Source organism: Homo sapiens, chromosome 9 (assembly GCF_000001405.40).
Source record: "Homo sapiens chromosome 9, GRCh38.p14 Primary Assembly".
Lineage (NCBI taxonomy): Eukaryota > Metazoa > Chordata > Mammalia > Primates > Hominidae > Homo > Homo sapiens.
Genome location: NC_000009.12, coordinates 97,739,015 through 97,760,373, shown reverse-complemented (window position 1 = coordinate 97,760,373; position 21,359 = coordinate 97,739,015). Strand labels below are relative to the sequence as shown.

Here is a 21,359-nt window from a genome sequence, read left to right as displayed (position 1 = left end):
CAACTTGACCAAGGTCACCTAGCATTGTTGGGCTATGCTGATTCTGGACCAGGCAGCAGGAATCTGGAATTCATCTTCCAGGGCGCTGCCATGCTCTGCTTTGCATTTTGGCTATGTGAGCCCAACTCTTACTAGATTCTGAAGAGCAAACATAGTGCCTGATTCACTACAGAATCCCCAGTTCCCAGTGCAGTCTGACAGAGGGCAAGTCCATGGGGAATGTTTGTCAAGTTGAGTAAGTAAGTACAAAGTACAGGGGTTTATTCACAACTCTCAGCTCATGTCACTCCCTCTGGCTGCTCAGATCAGAGTAGGACCCCATGACTATTTCCCACTGGCCCCTTTCGATAGAGCCAGCGGCAGGCTCCAGAGAGGCAGAGGGTGCCCTATGAGGAAGCAGCCATGGGTGTCATTGGAGCATGTCCCTGGCTCCACTGAGAGACAAGTCAAGTGTGCCCTGGAGCCCTGGCCCCTCTTAGCAGCTCCAGCCATCTCTGCTTCCCAGCCCCTGCTTGGGTGTCCACCCACCTGTGACAGCTGGGTCAGGAACAGTGCTGGGGAGGGCACTGTGTGAATCCAAGCACCCTGGGGTTCTTATGCTTGGCTCCAGCCAGGGGATCTGGGGCTCGAATGCCATCTCTGAGCCTCTCAGGCAGCAGCTAGGCAGCCAGGCCTAGACTCCTGGGAAACATTCCAGCTTCGGCTCCCCCAGGCATGCAGAACGCTGGGCTTGGAAACTCTTCTCCTAGTCACTCTCTAGGGGAATTTAATTTACCAGGACTCTGAGGACTGGAAGTATTTCTTATTTTGTCAGTTCCAAGTACTCCCTGCCTTACATCTATTCCTTTTGAATCTAAGGCACATGGCAGAACGAGAAAAGCTCGATGCAAAGAGTGAGAGAACTCATATTTTTGTCCCAACACAGTTCCCATTGTGCTGTGCCCCTGGCAAGGTGCTTCTCCTCTCCTGAGGCTGAGAGAAATATTACTCAGAGGCTAGCTCGATGATACCACCTTTTTTTTTTTCCTATTCCAAGATAAACAGACAGCTCATTAGAATGTAAAGACCACCGGATTCTGAATTGGGGGACTTCTGTGACCCTTGACAGTTGCCTAACCTCACAGACTCAGTTTCCCCATCCATAAAAATGGCGATAACATATATTTTCCTAACTACCTCTCAGGCTTTTGGGGGCTCTGGAAATTTTATGAATGTCCAAGTGCCTAGTAAGAGTGCTTACTAAGAGTATGAGGAGGTGACAATGATCCAAACCTCAACTATCTAGACTGAAAATCAAGTCAACTAATATTTCTTAAGCACCTGACATATTGACAGCACATCACTGAATGCCAAGGCATGCAAATATATGTCCAAGGAGTCAGAACTTTAGGTTGCTGCACATTTTGCTTTCTACAAATCTCAACTATAATGATTCTTAGATATCATTGCTATAACAACCTAGGAGACCTCAAGCTGGAATACATTTCCAGAGGGCTCAGATAAGTCAAGGAATGTGTCGGGAGAATGTGAAACAAGGAAGAGGGCAGAGATCAGCCATCCCTGAGGTCATACTGTGTGCCAGGTGCTATGTGCATGTGATCTCCTTCAACTTCCAAAGCAACTCCCAAATGACAGGCAGTAGCAGCCCATTCCACAGATGAGGAAACTGAGGCTCAGCAAGGTGATACAAGGGGGATGGGTTCAGACCTTGTAGTCTGATCCCCAGGTCTGACGCCTTGGTGGATTCATTGACTCATTCATCCCTCCTTTCCTTTATTACGCACATATTTGTCACACTCACATCTGAGTGGAGGGATTTGGTTTCTCTGCCTGAGCCTCATTTTTTGCTTCCTTCTCACTGGGCTCTTCCAGCTGACTCGGTTTTCCCCTCTCACAAGGAGACACGTCAAAGGAGATCAAACTGGGCGTAGACTCGGTGAGACTGGCTGACATCAGGAAGTGAGAGTGGATGCTTGTTTCCTGGAGCCTGGCAAGGAAAAGGGGTGGTCAAGGGCAGACTTCCACCCCACCTTCAATAATATCACTTTACACTTCTCAAGATCCTGCCACCTTAATTAGGAAATTTATAAGGCTGAGTGATGTTTCTATTTAGAAGTGGGAAGATTTTTGTGGTGAGGAGAGCTCATGGGTATTGGTGTGGCAGAGTTCTTGCCCATAAAGGGGCAGGGTATATAATGGGAAATGTACCAGACCTGGAGCCAGGAGACCTGGGTTAGTCCTAGTTTAAAAACTTACTGACCGTGTGACGTTGGAGAAGTCACTTTGTCTCTCTGAACCTCAGTGATTGTATCTGTAGAGGCAGTAACGTGTGGCATTATACAATTCCACATATAAAGACTCAGGTTATTTGGCATAGAGAAAATGCTCCATAAATGTTACCTGTTATCTGTAACAGGGCATGAAAGTTCCAAATGGCTGACATCACGTGAAGAAACCTCTCTGTAAAAGGCATAGTCCTCTTGCTTATAAATGGCAACAAGAGATAATTATAATTTTTATTGTCTAAGCCTCAACTCTACCTTGAGATCAAAAGACTAAAATAATATCTGGATTGGCAGCAACTTTTGTATAGAGAATCACCCATTCATATTCCATTCATGCTGTAAGGACCTATAGAGATCGTATAGCCCCAGGTTATAAATTCCAATGGGAGTGATGATGATAATATCAATGAACGTTCATTGAGCACTTACCTATGCCAGGCACTGAACTAGGTATCATAAATACATTTTCTCATTTGATTGCCATATCATCCCTGCGAAGTGGGCATTAATATGATTCTTATTTTTAGATGAGGACACTGAGGCACGAGAAAATAAGCATTTTGCTTTATCACTTTCAACAGGAAACAGAATGCACCCAGATGGTTCAAATAGAGACTTCAATGAAAGGATCACTTACAGAGGAATAATAAAGTTAAGAGAGGAAACAAGAGATGACCCAGAGGCTAGCCCAGTGGGAAGAAGCAAAGGGAGGCATGGAGTTGCCAGCACCCAGTGAGGATGGGGACTGTTAGGGAGGGTTGCCCAGCAGAAGCCACGGTTTGGGGACCTGCAGCTCCTTCCAGAAAGTAGGTACTTAGGTGTGGAGGAGTGCAGTGGGAGTAGAGAGTGGTCCCTTTCTCCTCTCACCCTCTGATCTCTTGCCAATGCCTTCTGCAGCCAAGCCCACCTGGAAGCTAGCCAGCAAGGGAGCCTGGGAGATGCAGTCTACAGGTTCAGTCTCAGGACACAGAGCAGGACAGAAAAGGGTGGAGGTAAGATTGGGGGCTAGGAAGTGGTGCAAATGAAAAACAATCAGCATATTTGCCTGGAGACACTCGGCTAATAAGATGCAAACGTGGTCTAAGTTCTTACCAGGACTTGGCAGGTCACATAAGAACGACAGGAGGGGATCGTAGTGCATGTGCCTCAATCCCTCGTGCCCCATCCAAAGAGAGCTACTGCTATTCACTTCTCACCAATTATTGCCATCTGGGAAGATAGACCCTGTGTCACCAAATCTTCGCATTCTTCAAGAGAATCTGAAAATCTGGATTTCAAAGTAATGCCTCTCATTCTTGAATGTTGGCAATAGTTCCAGCCAAAAAATCATACTGGTAAATAGGTACATACTGGTAAATGGGTATTGACTGTGGTACATCAATACAATGGAATATTATTCAGCAAAAAAAGAAGTAAACTATCAAGCTGCAAAAACACATGGGGGAATCTTAAATGAATATTGCTAAGTGAAAGAAGCCAATCTGAAAAGGCTACATACTGTATGATTGCATATCATTTTTGACACTCTGGAAATGGCAAAACTATAGAGACAGTAAAAAAGATCAGTGGTTACTAGGGGTTTGGGAGGAAGTGGGAGGTATGAATAGGTGAAGCACAGCAGATTTTTAGGGCAGTGAAATTATTCGGCATGCTACTGTAATAGTGAATACATGACCTCATGCATCTATCATAACCTGTAGATCTGTACAGCACAAATAATGAACCCTAATATGAATTATGGGCTTTAGTTAATAATAATGTATTGATGTTGGTTCATCAGTTATAACACTTGCACCATATTAATGCAAGATGTTAATAACAAAGGAAACTGTTAAGGTGGGAGTGGGGAGAGTAACTATGTGGAACCTCTCAGTACTTTCTGCCCATTTGTTTTGTAAGCCTAAAGCTGCTCTAAAATAGAAAGTGTTTTAATTTTTTTAAAAACATACTGAAAATGCTCTGTGGGCCGAATGGAACACGTGCCTGCTGGATCTGGCTACCGCTTTGTGACGTATGATCTAATCCAACTCCCTCATTTTACAGATAGGGAAGCTGGGGACCAGAAAAGGAATGGACCTTGCCAGTCTTCAGCACAGAGTGAGAGCAAAGCTTCCCATCCCAGGGTGTGGGGGTCTTCCAAATGAAGGGGAAGGCCCCCAGGAAGGCTACTGCTTGAGGCAGCTGAGGGAAAAGGCCAGTTGTGAGCTTTGGCTCTGGCCAGGCTGGTCAGGCTGAAATGCTCCAGTGAGTAGTGAAAGCCTCCAAGAGCCCAGATGCTCTTAATGTCTGTGTTTATTTAGTCAGAGACCAGCCTCCCTCCCAGCTTGGATCAGACTCACTGAGTTGGATGCAGAAAGGAGTGGACATTTGTGTCCCTTGTATGTGCCTTAGAGCAGGACAAGACTCAAAGGGCAGAAACTGCCATGTGCAAGGCCCAAACCTGGAGCTCAGTGACAGTGATGTAATGATATTGGGCATTTGAGGGGTACTAGGCAATTCTTCTGAGCCCTTTTATATCTCCTATAATTAATCCCCACCATCAGGGCTATGAATCAGGTAGAGCAGAGTTTATTATCCTCATTTTACAGGTAAGTAAACTGAAATAAAAGAGAAGTTAGGTGTGTGCCTTATATGTATCTACACAGCCAGTGAGTAGCAAAGCTGGGGTGTGAGTCCAAGCCTTGTTTTAAATATTAAAAATTATATGTAGTTAAAGACAAAACAAGCCATTTATAAACACTGTGGTGTAGTTGGTAGATGTATTTCTCATAGGAGTACAGGTTAGCATTCTGAAGCTACTTTATATGTATGTAAGGGTTCAACAAATAAGTAAATAAATGATAGATAATGGGAGCCAGATTTCTCATTGTCAAAGAAAAAAGTCACAATTGATAACAGGGGAAAGACTAATATGAACCCTACAGGGCTAGTGTCAGTATGAATTCATGTTTATTTTAATATATATACAAGATCAACAAATAAATAAATAAATAAATGATAGATAATGGGAGTCAGGTTTCTCATTGTCAAAGAAAAAGTCACAATTGATAACAGGGGAAAGACTAGTATGAACCCTGCAGGGCTGGTGTCAGCATAAATTCATGTTTATTTTAATGTATATACAAATAGATTCAGAAATAAGTATACACATGTATATTCATAGGTTAGTTTATATATATATTTCCTTGCTCTGTCTGCTGAGAAGGCCTAGAAGCAGTGACACCCCAGTAGCAATGGGCACTCTCAGCCCCCAAATCTTGGTTCCTAAATACCATTCTCCAATAAAAGGAACCAGGGCCCCTTGGAGAAATGGGTAGTTCTAGAGCTGAGTCAAGGAAAATAAATACAAGATGGTCCTAAATCCTAAAGGAGTGCCAGCAAGTAAGAAAGTATATTGAAAAAATAAAGATAGGGCATGACAAAAGGACGTAAAAGTCAACCTGAAAGAGCTCCCAGTGGCTAAAGTTGAGCAACAAGGTTAATAAATGTGGTAGTGCATTATAACCTGAAGAATAAAATAAATATCCATGAGTCCATATTGATATAAATAAAAATGGATTGAATAAATAAATAAACGGGGAAGAAGAGATAAATTTTCCTTATAGAAGAATTTCAAATAGTAAATATAGAAGAAACTAAGAAAACAGAAGATCACCATTAGAACACTATAACAGTAATTGCAATATCCACTGACTATGATAAAATTGGTGGACAAAATTTTAAGAAGAAACTGGATATTTATACAGCCTCAGAGGACCTCCTGTTAAATATTTGTTAATCACTGTGAGGTAGGAGGTGGGACTCCACTCGAGGTGGGGCTTGGACACTGGATCAAATTGGACACTACCTAAAACAGGGATGGGGTAGAAGCAGCTTTCCATAAGACATGCCCACCAGCATGCCATGTCAGTTTACCATTGCCGTGGCAACACCCAGGAGTTACTTCCCCTTTCCATAGCAATGACCTGATGACCCAAAAGTTAGCACCCTTTTCCTAGAGATTTCTGCATAAAGTGCTCCTTAATCTATATGTATTTAAAAGTAGGTTATAAATATCACTGCAAAACTGCCCTGAGCTGCTACTCTCAGCACACTGCCTATGGGGTAGCCCTGCTCTGCAGGAGCAGTTACAGAGCTGTAACACCACTGGAGCTGTAACACACTGCCGCTTCAAAAAAGCTGTTTTCTTCTACTCTGTCACCGACTTGCCCTTGAATTCTTTCCTGGGTGAAGCCAAGAACCCTCTTGGGCTAAGCCCCACTTTAGGGCTTACCTATCCTGCGTCAACTGTGATAGTTTTAACATGTCCACAAACCCTGATATTCCTCCCTCCAGGAGGTGGAGCTTAACTCCTTACTTCTTGAACTGTGTGTAGTGTAAGCTGAACTCAGTGATTCTCTTTTCTGAGTAGACTATGGGGAAAGGGAAAAAACAGTACTTTACTGTGGAGATACCTGGAAAACACCACCTTAACCAAGTGATCAAATTTGACATCACCAGTGATAACAGTATTAATATCATACCACTGCTATGATGCAATAAGAATGGAACTTCATCTCTGTGATATTCTTTCCCAAAATTCACTAGCTCTGTCAAGTCATGAGAAAACATCAGGCAAACCCAAATTGAGGTCATTCTGCAAAATGCCTGAGTAGTATTCTTCAAAAATGTCAAGGTCATGAAAAAAGGGAAGACTGGGAAACTGTCACAGATTGCAGGAGAGTAAAGTGACATGACAGCTAAATGTAATGTGGTACCCTGTGTTGAATTTTGGAACAAAAAAGGACATTAGTACAAAAATTAGTGAAATCTGAGTAAAGTCTATAGTTTCATTACTAGTATTGTACCAATGTTAATTTCTTAGTTTTGAAAATTGTTCTGTGGCTATATAAGATGTTAACCTCAGGGAAAGCTGGGTGAAGAATATATGAGAATTCTCTGTTCTATCTTTCACAGCTCTTCTGCAATTTGAAAAGGTTTTTGAAATGAAAACAAAGAAAATAAATTACATTTGCTGCACAGACTGGTTGTTAGCCACTACCAAAGAAATATCAAAGCCAATGAGAATTTGCCCCTGCTTTATAGTTCTAATACATCAAACTGTCTAAAGGAGGCCTTCAGTTCTCAGATCTAGTTGACATCCCTCCATGTTGATCTAACAATCAGGAGGGTGGAGCAGGATATTTATCGCAATGGGCCCATTGCACAGAGGAGGGAGCTGAGGCACAGATCATAGCACCCCATCATCTCATTGTACAGATGGGGAGACTTAGGCCTAGAGAGAGGGAAGATTTGCCCTTGGTTATATAGCAGATAAAGGGGCCAATCCAGGGCTAGAACTCCTGCGTCCCCATCCTTAAAACTATCTTGGCTGCTGTTTCAGGGCAGCTGCAGACAAAGCTTAAATTTGAACTATGCAGGAAGGCAAAGGAGAGTAGTTTTCATCTTGCCCCCACCCCCTTCTCACCTTTGAGTTAAGCAATGAAGCTGAAAAGATCCTTCAACAAACAAATCCCTCCTCATTATAGAATCCACAGGCACATCAGCTCTTAGGAAACCTGAAAGGCAAGCTCCTGAGGAGGGAGGGCTGTTCATACATGCCTGTCCAGGTGCCCTCTTCCCTGCTCACTCTCAAGAAGACAGAATGTCTGTTTCAGGAGCAGCAGTGCGGTGGACATTCAGGTTCCCAGACCACCATGATAGAATAGGCTAGGGGTTGTGGGAGCAGTGAGGTTCCAAGAGCCGGCTTCCAGGAAGGCACACTGGCCAAGGCATAGTCTATACTTCCCTATTCCAAAGTTGGATTCTTTCTGGATGTTAGAAAATGCTCCAAAGTACTCCCGTTGATGGGAAAAGGCATTTGTGGAGTCAGGCCCATGTGGTGATCAGATAAAGAACGTTCCCAGGCCAATGGATGAATCCAGAAAAAGATGAGCCCTTTTTCCTTCAAAAGAAAAGTGCAGCTCCACTGTCCCTTTTAAACTACGAGAAAACTGGATTAGTGGGATATAGTTTTGCTCATGAAATTGGGGCCAGGAATTCTGGGCAAGGTTTGGCTGCGCCAAGAGATGGAATTGCCTTAGAGAAGGAAAATGCAGAGAAAAGATCCCACTTAAGCATCTTATTTGAGGGATATAGAATAGTTTCTCCATTTGCATAAATAAAATATTAAAGCTTTTTGTTCAGGAAACCTATATCTCAGAGGAAAAGAATGCAATAATTCCAGTAATTAACAATTCCCCCAAGAAGTGTGGTTTGCATCATACATGATCTTCTCATTTTGATCCTCTTGGTTCCCAGAAAATGCAATGTTCTTTCTCCAGGGCCCCATGAAGGAGAGATGGCATTGACAAGAAGACTTTGCATACCTATGATGTCAGAGTCCAAAGTTTCAACTCTTGGTTGATCAGCTTTTAAGATTAGAAAACACAACATGGTGTAGGAAAAGATTCTGGGCATTGCTGTACATCATCCTGGGCTTAAATCCTGGTCCTACTTGGTAGCTGCATGGCTGAACTTTGAAGAATTGGTTAGCCTCTCTGACCCTTTGGTTTCTCCTCTTTAACTACGGTAATAACTCCTACTTAATGGTATTGTTGGGATAGCTACCATCAGGTTCCATGGTACAGTGGGTGCTCAGAAGGTATTCTTGCTGAATATCTCTTGAATATCTTCTCTCTAATTTGCTTGTAAGGAGTCCTGTTTTGCAGGAATATGTGTTGATTAAGAATTTCTTTTAATTTTCCTCAGATAAATAAGAACTTCTTTCTGTCTGCTTTCTTTTTACAACTGCTGTATGGAGCTATGGAAAAGTTTCTTTTAATGACAGCTTTTAAGACCTTCAGCAGATTAGCACTTTCGATTCTGATTAAGCTAATCACAGTGCAGTTTACTGCTATTTTGTAGCAATTACCACCATTTTAATTGGCTAATTAATTGGGAAATAAATTGTTTAATGATGATCTGTTTTACCAGAATGTAAGCTTTATGAAGGCATGAACAGTAGGGACAGAATCTGTCATGTTTACTGCCATACTCCTCATACCAGCCATGTGTATGTGTGTGTATACACACATATATATTAAGCACAATATAAGTGTTGCTGTTACTTTTTGGTAGCAAATATTTATCCTTTGAGGGTGCAATCATTTTTGGAAGTAGCCAAAAGATAATCCCAGCCCTGTAAATGATCAAGCTGAGAAAGAGGGTTTTTGGTAAAAATCAAATATTTTATGTATTCATTTCCCCCCCCCCACCTTTTTTGTTGTTGTTGTTGAGACAGAATCTTGCTCTGTTTCCCAGGCTGCAATGCAGCGATGTGATCAGCTCACTGTAACTCAAAACTCCTGGGCTCAAGTGATCCTCCTGCCTCAGCCTCCCAAGTAGCTGGAACTGCAGGCACGCACCACCACGTCCGGTTAATTATTATTATTATTATTATTATTTTGGAGATGGGATCATGCTATGTTGCTCAGGCTATGTAGAACTCCTGACCTCAAGTGATTCTCCTGCCTCAGCCTCCCGAAGTGCTGGGATTATAGGTCTGAGCCACCAGGCCCTGCCTTCCTTCACTTACCAATATTTCTTTAGTCCTAAGTGCTGGGAGCTGGGAAGCCAAGCATGAACCTTGCTCTCAAAGGGCCTCTGGCCAGGCTGAGAAGACAGACAGACATATCAACAACTGCAGGAAAGGCCAGACAGAGCCTTGGAGCTGGAGGCAGGGGGCAGGACACTTGGATTCTAGTTCCAGCTGTGCTTTGAACTTGCTTTGTGGCCTTGAATAAGTCCTTCTCCTCTCTAGGCCTGTGTGTTGGGGGAATTAGACTGATGTGAAACATCTAGCTTTGTGGTCCTGGGATCTTGAGATTACTTTCAATAAGACAGTGCTCCTTCCAGCAGTTTCCATCTCTTGAATCCTGTGCGGCCTCTACAGGAAGGTGTGTGAATTCTGTCTGCTGAGAGCTTTCCAAAATGCCAGCCCTGCCAGCCTGCCTGGAGTGAAAAGGCCGTTCTTGGCCATGGTGCCTCCCCTCCTTGGCTGTGCAACCTGAGAACACCTGCTACTCTCTGGGTCTCAGAACCTCACATGTACAACAAAGAGGCTCTGCACAGAGGTCTCCAGGCTTCCTTCACGGCCTCCATCCTGTGCTCTCAGGTTGTCAGGACAAGAGCTGATATTTTTCAGGGCAGCACTTCACAAACTGTGTTCAGTGAAACATTTGTATTCTGTGGGACAGGAATAGGATTCAGCAAACAAAAAGTAGTGGTGGGAAGGGAGTTGTTCCAGCCTCAAATAAGTGTGGAAGATGCTTACTTTTTTTTTTTTTAATGGAGTCTCGCTCTGTCACCCAGGCTGGAGTGCGGTGGAGTGATCTCCGCTCACTGCAACCTCTGTCTCCCAGGTTTGAGCAATTCTCCTGCCTCAGCCTCCCAGGCAGCTGGGATTGCAGGTACCCGCCACCACACACAGCTATTTTTTGTATTTGTAGTAGAGATGGGGTTTCACCATATTGGTCAAGCTGGTCTCAAACTCCTGACCTTGTGATCCACCTGCCTTGGTCTTCCAAAGTGCTGGGATTACAGGCGTGAGCCACCGCACCTGGCCAATGCTTAGTTAAATTTAGACAAGAATCCTCAGGATGTTCAGCATGCTAATGACATTTTGAATTTCCTCGAGGAACAATGCAGTAGACAGAAAGGTAGACTTGCAAAGTGGCAAAATGCACAAGATGAGTTTGGAATCCTGGTTGCACTACTGCCTAGCTGTGCAACCACAGGGAAGTTCATTAGCCTCTGTGAGCTGCAGTTTCCTCACAGTTCAGAGGAAAATATGGACCCTGCCTTTTAGGGATATTATCAGGATGAAAGACAACATTGCATGTAAGATGCTATGGGCATTGTTATTATGTATTGCCCATGGGGTTTTTTGTGGGAGGAATAGCTATAAGCATCTCTCAGGATTGTAGTATTCCACAAACACAGTTTGGGAAGGGCTGAGCCATCTGTGTGTTCCAAACACTGCTGTTTTTTTACTCTGACGTTGCAAGACTTCAGTGAACATCTGTTCTGCCTCTTCATCCAGTTGAATTGATTGTGAAGTCCCAGGGTGCAATGGGGACACAGTTTAGGCACCAAGTACAGGGTTCTTAAAACTCAGGTGAGCCCAGGCCCTTAAAGCTTAGGTGGATAAGCAGGTGTGGCTCAACAGGGGTATCTGAGAAGGAGTTTAAAGGATGAGCCTGGAGAGATGGCCTTGGGAAGGTCATTATGCCAGGAGGAGGAATTTGGGCTTTACCCTGGGGCAACAGGGATTGTGCTGCATGTGCCTGGAGGCCCTGCCTTCTGCTCCACTTTGTCACACATCCTCTGACCTGGGCATCCAGGGCTGGTCCAAGTGGGTGGCAGGTAGACCAGGAGGCATTAGTGAGATGCTGGCTTCCCTCTCAGCATGGAGCCTGGGACATGTCACTCACCCCTCTTTGTCTTAGCCTCCACATCCATAAAATGAGAGGCATCACGACTCCTGGGCAGCCTGACCCACAGGGCTGTTGTGAAGGTTCAGGGAGATAAAGTATTTCAACGAGCACATTAAGTTGAGATCCTAGTATGTGCCACGCCTTGTATTTAGGCCTGGGGGAGACTGAGATGAACAACACATGATCCCTGCCCTTGAAGGCTCACAAGCTGCTGAGTTTGGTACACTGAAGTAAGTGCTAAGATAAAGATAAGCCCATGAAAGGGACCTTCACCCAATGTAGGGAGTGGAAAGGCTGATGAGGGGAAGGAGACATTTAGGAATCTTCCCGGGAGGAGGTGATGTCTCTGCTGAGTTCTGAGATACACCTGGTAGTTAGTGGATGAAGAAGGAAGAAATAAGTTTCCAGGCAGAGGAAACAGCATGAGGAAAGTCAAAGAAAAATGAAATGTCACAGTCCATCTGTGCAAATGAGTAGCAAGCAGTATTATTAGGACTTTAAATTTGAGGTATGGAAGAAGATGTAATGGACACCATTGGTGGCGACATTGTTTGCATTTAGACAGACAACACATTCAAAAGCTAAGGAAGTGAAGCTCTAACTGGACAACTCCAGTAATTAGCTTGTATAAAGCTTTTTTGTTTTCCCTGAAATTGCACCATGGTCTCTTTGCTATCTGTGATAGGTTACCTCGGTGGTGTTGGGCAGACTGCAGGCCTTGAATGCCAGGCTGAAGGGTTTGCTCTATAGCTTGCAGACTAATGGAAGAATTAGCCATAAAAGCCAGGGGATTTAGAATGGAATCCTTGGCATTCTCTGCATGTGTGGGGCTGGCTAGGCAAGGAGGTTCCCAGAAGAAAAACAGAGCAACCTTTGCCCTCCTTCTGTACTTAGGTGAAAAGCAGAATTAGAATGGGGCTGACTGAGTGATGTGGTTATTGTGCCTTCCTTTTGGGCTTCAGTATCCAATCTGCCCTAGTGCAGGGGGCTTAAGGCATGCCACTCGGGAGGCCAGATGATAAGCCCCAGCCACGGCCTAGGCTTTGGGGAGCTACTGCACACAAACAAGCCTGTGCCAGGGAATTAGTACTGTTGTTATTAAGAGAAAGAGGCTTGGCTGTAGCTCTCCAGCTGAGAACATGCACTGTCCAGGCTGCCACCACTGCAGGGAGAGTCTCTCATCCTGCTCCTCCAGGACACCCCCCATCACTGCCTTGGCCTCTGTGCTTGACAGATGAAACCTCCCATTGGGAGGCCCCTAAGGTGAACAGAGGCAAGGGCTGGGAGACAGGAGGTTAGGGACTCTGCCCCTAACCTACTGTGTAACCTTGGGTGAGTCCATTCACTTCTCTGAGCCTTTCTAGAAAGACTTTCTCACATTTCCGGAATGAAGAAAGTCCAACCCTGTGTAGGGCCAAGGGCAGATAATGAGCATTAGATAAGATAATGTGTGTGGAAGGGCTTTGCAGTGGAAGAGGTATTATTATCTTTATTAAAAGAGGCAGCAGGGGAGAGTAGAACAATGATTGGAAATGTGAATTAAATGTGCTGCCTTGTTATTTGGTAATCTTAAGAAATTTTACAAAGTTTTAAGGCACAACAATGGTATTTTAGTTACGTTTTTAAAATTGGCTTTGTCTTGTAAAGGCACATACTGAAGTATTTATGGACAAAACTATATGATGTCTGAGATATGCTTCAAAATAAGGAAAGGGTGAAATGGATGTGGATTAGGATGAAATAAGACTGGCCAAGAGCTGATCAATGAAGCTGGGTGACAGGTGAGTGAGGGTTGGTTACACTATTCTGTCTAATCTTCTATATGCTTAATTTTCCCATAATAAAAAGTTAAATCGGCTGGGTGCGGTGGCTCACACCTGTAATCCCAGCATTTTGGGAGGCCGAGGTGGGTGGATCACCTGAGTCAGATGTTTGAGACCAGCCTGACCAATATGGTGAAACCCCATCTCTACTAAAAATACAAAAATTAGCCGGGTGTGGTGGTTCATGCTTGTTGTCCCAGCTACTCCAGAGGCTGAGACAGGAGAATTGCCTGAACCTGGGAGGCAGAGGCTGCAGTGAGCAGAGATTATGCCACTGCACTCCAGCCTGGGGGACAGAGCCAGACAAAAAAAAAAAAGTTAAATCAAAGAGCATGTCACTTAGTCAGACTGACCTGCCTTCACCACCTAATATTTATGTGACCCAGGGAAGGTCACTCCCTGACTTTCATCTCTCTAAACCTCTTTACTCATCTGTTAAACAGGGTTACTAAAATAGCACCTGCTTCGTAGGGCTCTCATAAAGACCATATATGTAGAATGCTCAGCCTATGCCTGGCACATGGCAGGTGTATGGTAAATCATGATTCCCACTCCCTCTTAGAGATCATCATCCATCATTATATGTCACCCGATAGCCCTGCTGGATGTAGCTTGACATCCTGGGCCATGGTCTGTCTCCTAAGGTGGAAGAGGAGGTCCATTGTGACCCTAGGCTTTCTCCACTGGTTGGGGCACAGTTGGTATGCGGGAGCTCTGCGGTGGTGAGGAAGGGAGTTAATGTGGTGCCCCTATCTGTCCTCCTTCCCATCTGGAAGAAATGGGAGTGAGTGAGTAGAACACGCTTGGATTGGGCATTTTCTCTATGCTGACCACTGAGCTTTACAACCACCTTGTGAGGTTAGGGCTTTCACTCAGAGAGGTTAAGAAACTTGCAAGTGTTTGCACATCTAGTGGGTGAAGAGGAAAGAGGGAGGAAGAAATAAACAGAGCAGGTAGGGATGGAGGGAGGTGGAAAACGAGTACCTCCAGAGGAATGGAGGGGAGGTTGGAAGGGGATGAGAGAAGAGGAACAGGATGAATTAGGGAGAAGGGCGCAAAGGGGCAGGAGTAGGAAGAAAGTGGGAGAAGCAGAAGCATTCAGTCCCCCCTTCTCCTTCTCCTCCAGTGCCTCAGTTGAGAAAGTGTCTCCAACCCCTTCAACCACTGATTGGGAAGGGTGGGATACAGGAAGGACAAATCCACTTCCCTGGAGGTCTCTCTTTTCCCAGCAACTAGAGACCAGTCAGCACTGTGGGTCGGACAGCACCCTGGCCACACCTTTAGCTGGCAGGGGCGTTGCCCTCTCTCCTTGGATCTTATTGGACAGTGCTGGGTCTGCTCCCTAACCCCCTTCCTCAACTCCTCTCCTTTAGGCCACTGTTCTCAGATAGCTTGGGACCTGACCTAAAGGACCAGATGGAGCATGGGGTGTCTCTCCTGGGCAGGGCCTGACACATGGCAGGATATCTTTCACCTACCAGCCCTGGGCAGATAACCAAGGCTTCCTAAAACATGGGAGAAAAGACCCTGCCTGCAAAGGCTCAGTGTGCTTGGAGAGATAAGACAGATGTGTATGAAATTCCTGTAGAAAAACAGGAGGCATTTGGATTTCACTCCCAGGCAGCACGCCTGGGAGACCTGTTCTTGGAGCCTCAGGGAACCCCAGCCCTGCCACTCACCAGCTGTGTGACCTTGGGACAATCTCCAGAATATGAGCCTCAGTTCTCGCATCTGTAAAACGCAGATTACACTGTCTGCCCTGACTGGCTGTTTGAACATATGTAGGATGGCAGATGTGAAAGCACTTTGTGAACCCTGGTGTACTCTGTCCGTGTGAGGGCTTATTCCTGGGTGCCAGTCTGGGTGGTCAGGATGCTGAACTGTGTTTCTTTATTGGGCTGTAGTGTTTATGAAGGGATAACATGAGAACCCTCCACGTGAGGATAGCCCTAGATCTTGTCTGAGTCACTGTTGAGCATTTTATCTCCTGCCTTGTTCAGTGTCCACTGTGTGAAGACATACTTGCTCAGTTATTCCTAGAATACAACATAAAGGAAAGATGTGTGTTTCTTGAAAAGCAAAACTGATTCCTTTTTATCAGAAAGTGAAAATTATATCATCCGCCCTGATTTTCGTTTTGCCTCAGCTGTCTGGAGGCTCAAGGTAAAACTTAAGTGCAATAATAACAATATAGGTGCTTATTATATAACTTGCTTATTGTATAATTTTCTTTCTCTCATTTTTACCTGATTTTATTTTTTCTACTGATGTTTCAGAGTCAGTTGATGCCAAGCTGATCCAAAGGCAAGAATCATGTTAACAAGCCTGTATTAGTCCGTTTTCACACTGCTAGTAACGATACTACCTGAGACTGGGTAATTTATAAACAAAAGAGGTTTAATTGACTCACAGTTCCACATGGCTAGGGAGGCCTCAAGAAACTTACAATCATGGCAGAAGTCAAAGGGGAAGCAAGGACCTTCTTCATATGGCAGCAGGAGAGAGAGACAGTGCAGAGGAAAGTGCCAGACACTTATCAAACAACCAGATCACGTGAGAACTCACTCACTGTCACGAGAATAGTAAGGGGGAAATCCGCCGCCACAATCCAGTCGTCTCCCATCAGATCCCGCCTTTGACATGTGGGGATTACAATTGGAGATGAGATTTGGGTGAGGACACAGAGCCAAACCATATCAAAGCCCCAAACAGACCATTCCAGCCATCAAGAGCAACTATGACAAACGGGGAGGTAAAGTACACTTTACCACTGGTATTAGTTTCCTGTGGATGCTGTAAAAAACTTTACCACAAACTTGGTGGCTTGAAACTACAGAAATGTATTCTCTCTTTTCTGGAGGACGGAAGTCCCAAATCAAGGTGCCAGCAGGGCTGTACTTCCTCCGGAGGCTCCAGCAGGAGAATCCATTCCTTGCCTCTTCCAGATTCTGGTTGCTGCCAGTATTCCGTTGCTTGCGGCTGCATCACTCCAATCTCTGCCTCTGTCTTCATATCACCTTCTCTTCTATGTGTCTTCTGTCTGTGTCAAACGTCCCTCTTTTAAAAAATACATGTGATTGATGCAGGTCCTACCCAGGTAATACAGGATAAGTTCCTTATCTCAAGATCTTTAACTGAATCACGTTGTTCACCATATAAAGTAATGTTCACAGGATCTGGGAATTAGGACATAGACATTTCTTGTCTATGTGAAGACATTTCATTCCTTCACATCATTTTAGAGCCCTACAGTCATAGAATCATCCACCTCTCTCATTTGTGATATAGCTTAAGTGATTAGGAACACAAGTTCCGATTTCTGACTCCTGGGTTCCCATCCTAGCTCTGTCATTTGCTGTGGGATTTTGGGGAAATTACTGAATATCGTAGAATCTCAGTTTTTGTTTTTTTTTTCATTTGAAAACTCAAGGATAGTATCTACCTTATAGGGTTGAAATAGGGATTAAACAAAATACTCTGTAAAAACACAAAATACAGGAGCTCTCAAGATTTGAAGGGCACTTACAGACTATATAATCCCATCTCTCTAACTTAGCACTGATGAGTCTCAATCTGATTTTAGGTCATCAGGGACAAATCATTTTTAATGGTTGGAAAATTATTTTTATTGTAGTAGGAACTACTAGCACATAAATCTCATTTTATTTCACAGATACAGCTTAGCAAAAATTTAATAAGCAAGTTGATATAAGAAAAACGTTGAATCAGTAATACTACAAGTTGTGAATCAGGTTCACTGTGTACTGGTTACCAACTTGTCTGAGTGGGATGAGATAGAACGCCCACACACAACAAGTTACATGAAGTGGGTTCACTGCTTACAGAGATGCAGCAAGGGACTGTAGAAGCGTAGGACGCATTTGAGGCCTGAGCCCTAAGGCTCCGGAAAGCTGTCCAGGGGAAAGGAATCTCGACTGTGTGTCTCCCACTTGTACGGCAGCGGAGGACCCTGGAAAGCAGCCTGTCCTGGGTTTTATACCCCGGAAAACAAGACTCGCTGGACTAAAGCGTTGAAAGACATTCTGTTCTGGGGAGGACTGGCACAGAGCCAGGCTGTTCCAGCCAGCCACTCCCTATCTCAGGATGTTGCCCTTCCAGCATATTCTACAGTTATTCTTGAGAACTACAAGGCAGAAAGGGGGTAGAACTGGATGAGTCCAAGGTCGCCTGGAGAAGTATCCCACACAGGTGGTACACAGACATGGCCAAATTAGAAATGCATGAAGTTCCAACACTCTGCAGTAGCCAAAGCACAAATCCAGCAGGATCCCAGACAGTGAAAGCCCATCATTCTTTTTTCTTTCCTGTGTGTGTGGTTTTGTTTTGTGTGTGTGTGTGTGTGTGTGTGTGTGTGTGAGACAGGGTCTCTCGTTCTGTCGCCCAGGCTGGAGTGCAGTGGTGCAATCACAGCTCATTGCAGCCTCAAACTTCCAGACTCAGACGATCCTCGTGCCTTAGCCTCCCTAATAGCTGGGACTAAAGAGGAGTAAGACACTGGGCCGCCTTCTTTCTTCTTCTCTTCTTCTTCTTCTTCTTCTTCTTCTTCCTTCTTCCTCTTCCTCTTCTTCCTCTTCTTCTTCTTTCTTCTTCTTTTCTTCCTTCTTCCTCTTCCTCTTCCTCTTCTTTTCTTCTTCCTCTTCCTCCTCTTCCTCTTCCTCTTCTTCCTTCTTCCCTCCTCCTCCTCCTCATCTTCTTCTCCTTCTCCTTCTTCTCCTTCTTCCTCTTCCTCTTCTTTTTTTTCATAGAGACAGGATTTCACCATGTTTTCCAGGCTGGTCTTGAACTCCTGGGCTCAAGCGAGCCTCCCCGCACCGGCCTTTGGGAGCCGACAAGGAATCCCTGTCTTCTAGTAGTCTTCAAAGCCAGATCCAGCTTGTCTAGGTTAAGGATTCGATGCCTCCAATGAGGCAGAGAAAATGAACATGCCCGTTCCCCCAAGGCCTTCAAGAGCCTCCAGGCTCACAGAGATTAACTTGTCCTCACCCGCCTGCCTGCCTTTTGTGCAGATCTCTGCATTGTCCTGAAGAAAGACTCCGGCACTCGGGCTGAAACTCCGTGTGCCGATGACCCTGGCCTTGTCCCGGGAGGCACTGGAAGGGATGGCGCCCGTCGCGCTCCTGAAGGCCCGGAGCCACCCGCTGTGAGCAGATAACCGGCAGCACTGGGCAGCGCGGAGGCGGCCCCACGAGGACTCAGCCCCGGGCTGGGAGTCAGGGATTCGCCCTGAAGCCTTGCAGGTGCCCCCGTCACCGGGCGTCGGATTCCCGCGGGACGCGGTTTTCCCCACGGCTGGGCCTCCCTTTGGGCGAGTCCCCAGCACAATGCGCGTCATCCCGCAGACCTGCCCGGCAGAGGCGGGCGGGCAGGAGCGCGCTTGGCTTCCTGTCTCGCTGAATGGCTTGAATGGGCGCTGGGCCCGTTCCTAATCCCCTAGCGGCTGACTGTCCCGGCAGGGGCGGAGGAGGGCGGGGGGGCTTGCAGCCCTGGCGTCTCCTCGCAGGCTGCAGGCAGTGGGGCCCGCCTGTTCTAGTTCCGCCTACCTTTCCAGGGTGAGACCGGCAAGGGGACTCTAGGCAGGCAGGCGCCCTCCTGGAACCTTCCGCCCTTCTCCCAGGACTATTCCTGTTCAGAGTTGCGTGTGCTAAGGTTACAAGCAGGGCGCTAGTGGTGGAGAAGAGCTTCAAGATCCAGCGCATCAGAACCGGAAACGCCCTTACTTATCATCCCCCTTCTCATTTTACCAGTGAGGAAACAAGTTCTAATGGTTCAGGAACTGCACACAATGAGTAAGTGAGAGACATAAAAGAGTCAAGGCTTCAGTCAGGTGGCCTTTCCAGTAGACCAGCTGTCTCCCAAACCTATTCCCTGCAGCATCCCCAAAGACTAGGAGATATTTAGTGCTCCTGACAAAAAAAGTTAAGCGAAGGCCCTCAGAAGTCCTGCAGTGTGTTAACGTGGACGATGTTAATGCAACCCTTTCCAAACTTACTTGGTAGCTCCTTCTTTTTTCACATGGCACCTTTTCTCAGAAGCAGAACTCTGAATCACACGATCTGGAAATTCTGCACTAGACCCTGCTGTAAATTTTCCAGAAGTGATTATGAAGAAGATGAGGATATTTCTGTTTAAAATTTGTTGAGTGTCATCCAGGTGGAAGGCTGTAAAATAAGAGGGATCCCTTTATAGATTCAGAGTCACCCGGTGCTTATTGGGCATCTGTTACTACCAGGTGTGTTCCATCTCAATTATCTCTGCTCAGCCTCCTAACAACCCTGTTGGATGATTAATAGAACCTCAACTTTACAATCGTGGAAACTGAGGCACATGGAACTGAGTAACTTGCTTAAGGTCACACAGCTAACAGCAAAAGTGGGTTTCAAGCCAAGTCTGAAATCCGGGGCCCTTGTTCTTCTGCCATGCCCCCTTGCTCCTCTTTCCATACAGTCTGTTAATGAGGCAAAAATGCTGAACTGGAAATAAAAGAAAAAACCCTGAGTTCATGCCCCATTCCACTCCTGTTGCACTGTGTGACCTTGGACAAGACCCTGTCCTCCCAGGTCTAAGGCATCCCCCCAACAATGGGAGGGTTAGAACAAGTTCCCAGTCCCTACATGACTTTCCTGCTCCAGCATCCCATGGCTCCACCACTCTGGTCCTCAGACCCAGTGGTCTAGAGGTTGTGCTATCAGGGACATAGATCATCCTGGGGAGTCGTCAGTTCAGGAACTGGGTGACATAAGGCTGGGCTCATGTCTGACAGACACCAGGACAGACCAGACCAGTAGCCTGTCTGAGAAGGCAGAGCATATGCCAGCTCACTTCTAGCACCTTGTCAGAGCCATGGGAAACTGTCACCCAGGGGCTCAGGGATGGAGTCAAGCCCTGTATGGTTCTGGTTCTTGGTAGCATGACTTGTGACACCCTCACAGGTGTTCCCCTCCTTCATGAGTGGTGAAGAAACTTGCAAGACTGGTGAGGGTGGGGCCAGGAAAGGAGCAGGCAAGTGGTGAGAGGGCATGGAGGTATAGACCTAACTTGGACTTACTTCATATAAACAATATTTGCCATTATGTAGCCAGCTGGTTCACCCACTCTGCCATTTTTTTTTTTAGAAGGTGGTAGTCTTAGTTTGGGTTATTCCAGAAGCAGACTCTAAGACAAAGATTCAAATGCAAGTAGTTTGTTTGGGAGGGGATGCTGCTAGGGAGCATGGAAGTAAAGCAGGAGAGGGGAAGAACAATCATGGTGTGTTAGCAAGCAAGCCTCCCCTGTAGGCAACTGGAGCTGGGTCCTGCTGGGGGCTCTGGGAGCCAGTGCGGCCCATATGCACAGCCCCTGAGTTCCCAGGGGCAAGGCAGCTGGAGGGTGTGTCCGCCAACTCCTGTCAGCCACTGGCTGAGGACTGCTCCCAAGGAGGGGCTGTTAATTCCCCCAGCACATCTGGCCTGTGCCAGAAATGACCAGCAGGAGATACCCCAGGTGGCATATCAGGTGCTGAGGGCCTGTGGATGAGGCAACAAAGTGGCTGCCTCAGATGTTTAGGGAGCCAGAAGCTGGAACACCAGGGAAGGGGTCTAAACTCCACAAATCACTAGGCAAGTAAGGTTCACTGAGTGCTTGCCTTCTTTAAGCTGCAGAGGAATTTTGATGGAACTTTTTCATCTGTTGAATGGGAGTGGAATGCTGTCCTGCCTATCACAAACAGGACCAAATCATGAGTTATTAAAAGGCAACGATGAGTATGTGCTTACCTC

At 45.8% G+C, this 21,359-nt stretch overlaps 1 long non-coding RNA gene across 1 annotated transcript in view, besides 2 other annotated features; it reads left to right on the top strand.

Moving 5' to 3' along the window:
• The window catches only part of PTCSC2 (papillary thyroid carcinoma susceptibility candidate 2), a 153,456-nt gene that overhangs the window by 92,707 nt on the left and 39,390 nt on the right, over nucleotides 1-21,359 (top strand). The window lies entirely within an intron of this gene.
• Nucleotides 1,410-2,609: an enhancer, noted in NCBI's record as "CDK7 strongly-dependent group 2 enhancer chr9:100520047-100521246 (GRCh37/hg19 assembly coordinates)". NCBI's record gives its function as "activates an origin of replication core promoter dependent on BRD2, BRD4, P300/CBP, MED14 and CDK7 cofactors, with strong dependence on CDK7, by STARR-seq in HCT116 cells {active_cell/tissue: HCT116}" and the evidence as "EXISTENCE:reporter gene assay evidence [ECO:0000049][PMID:35650434]".
• Nucleotides 18,782-18,891: an enhancer, noted in NCBI's record as "active region_28678". NCBI's record gives its function as "activates an Ori minimal core promoter by ATAC-STARR-seq in GM12878 lymphoblastoid cells {active_cell/tissue: GM12878}" and the evidence as "EXISTENCE:reporter gene assay evidence [ECO:0000049][PMID:35858748]".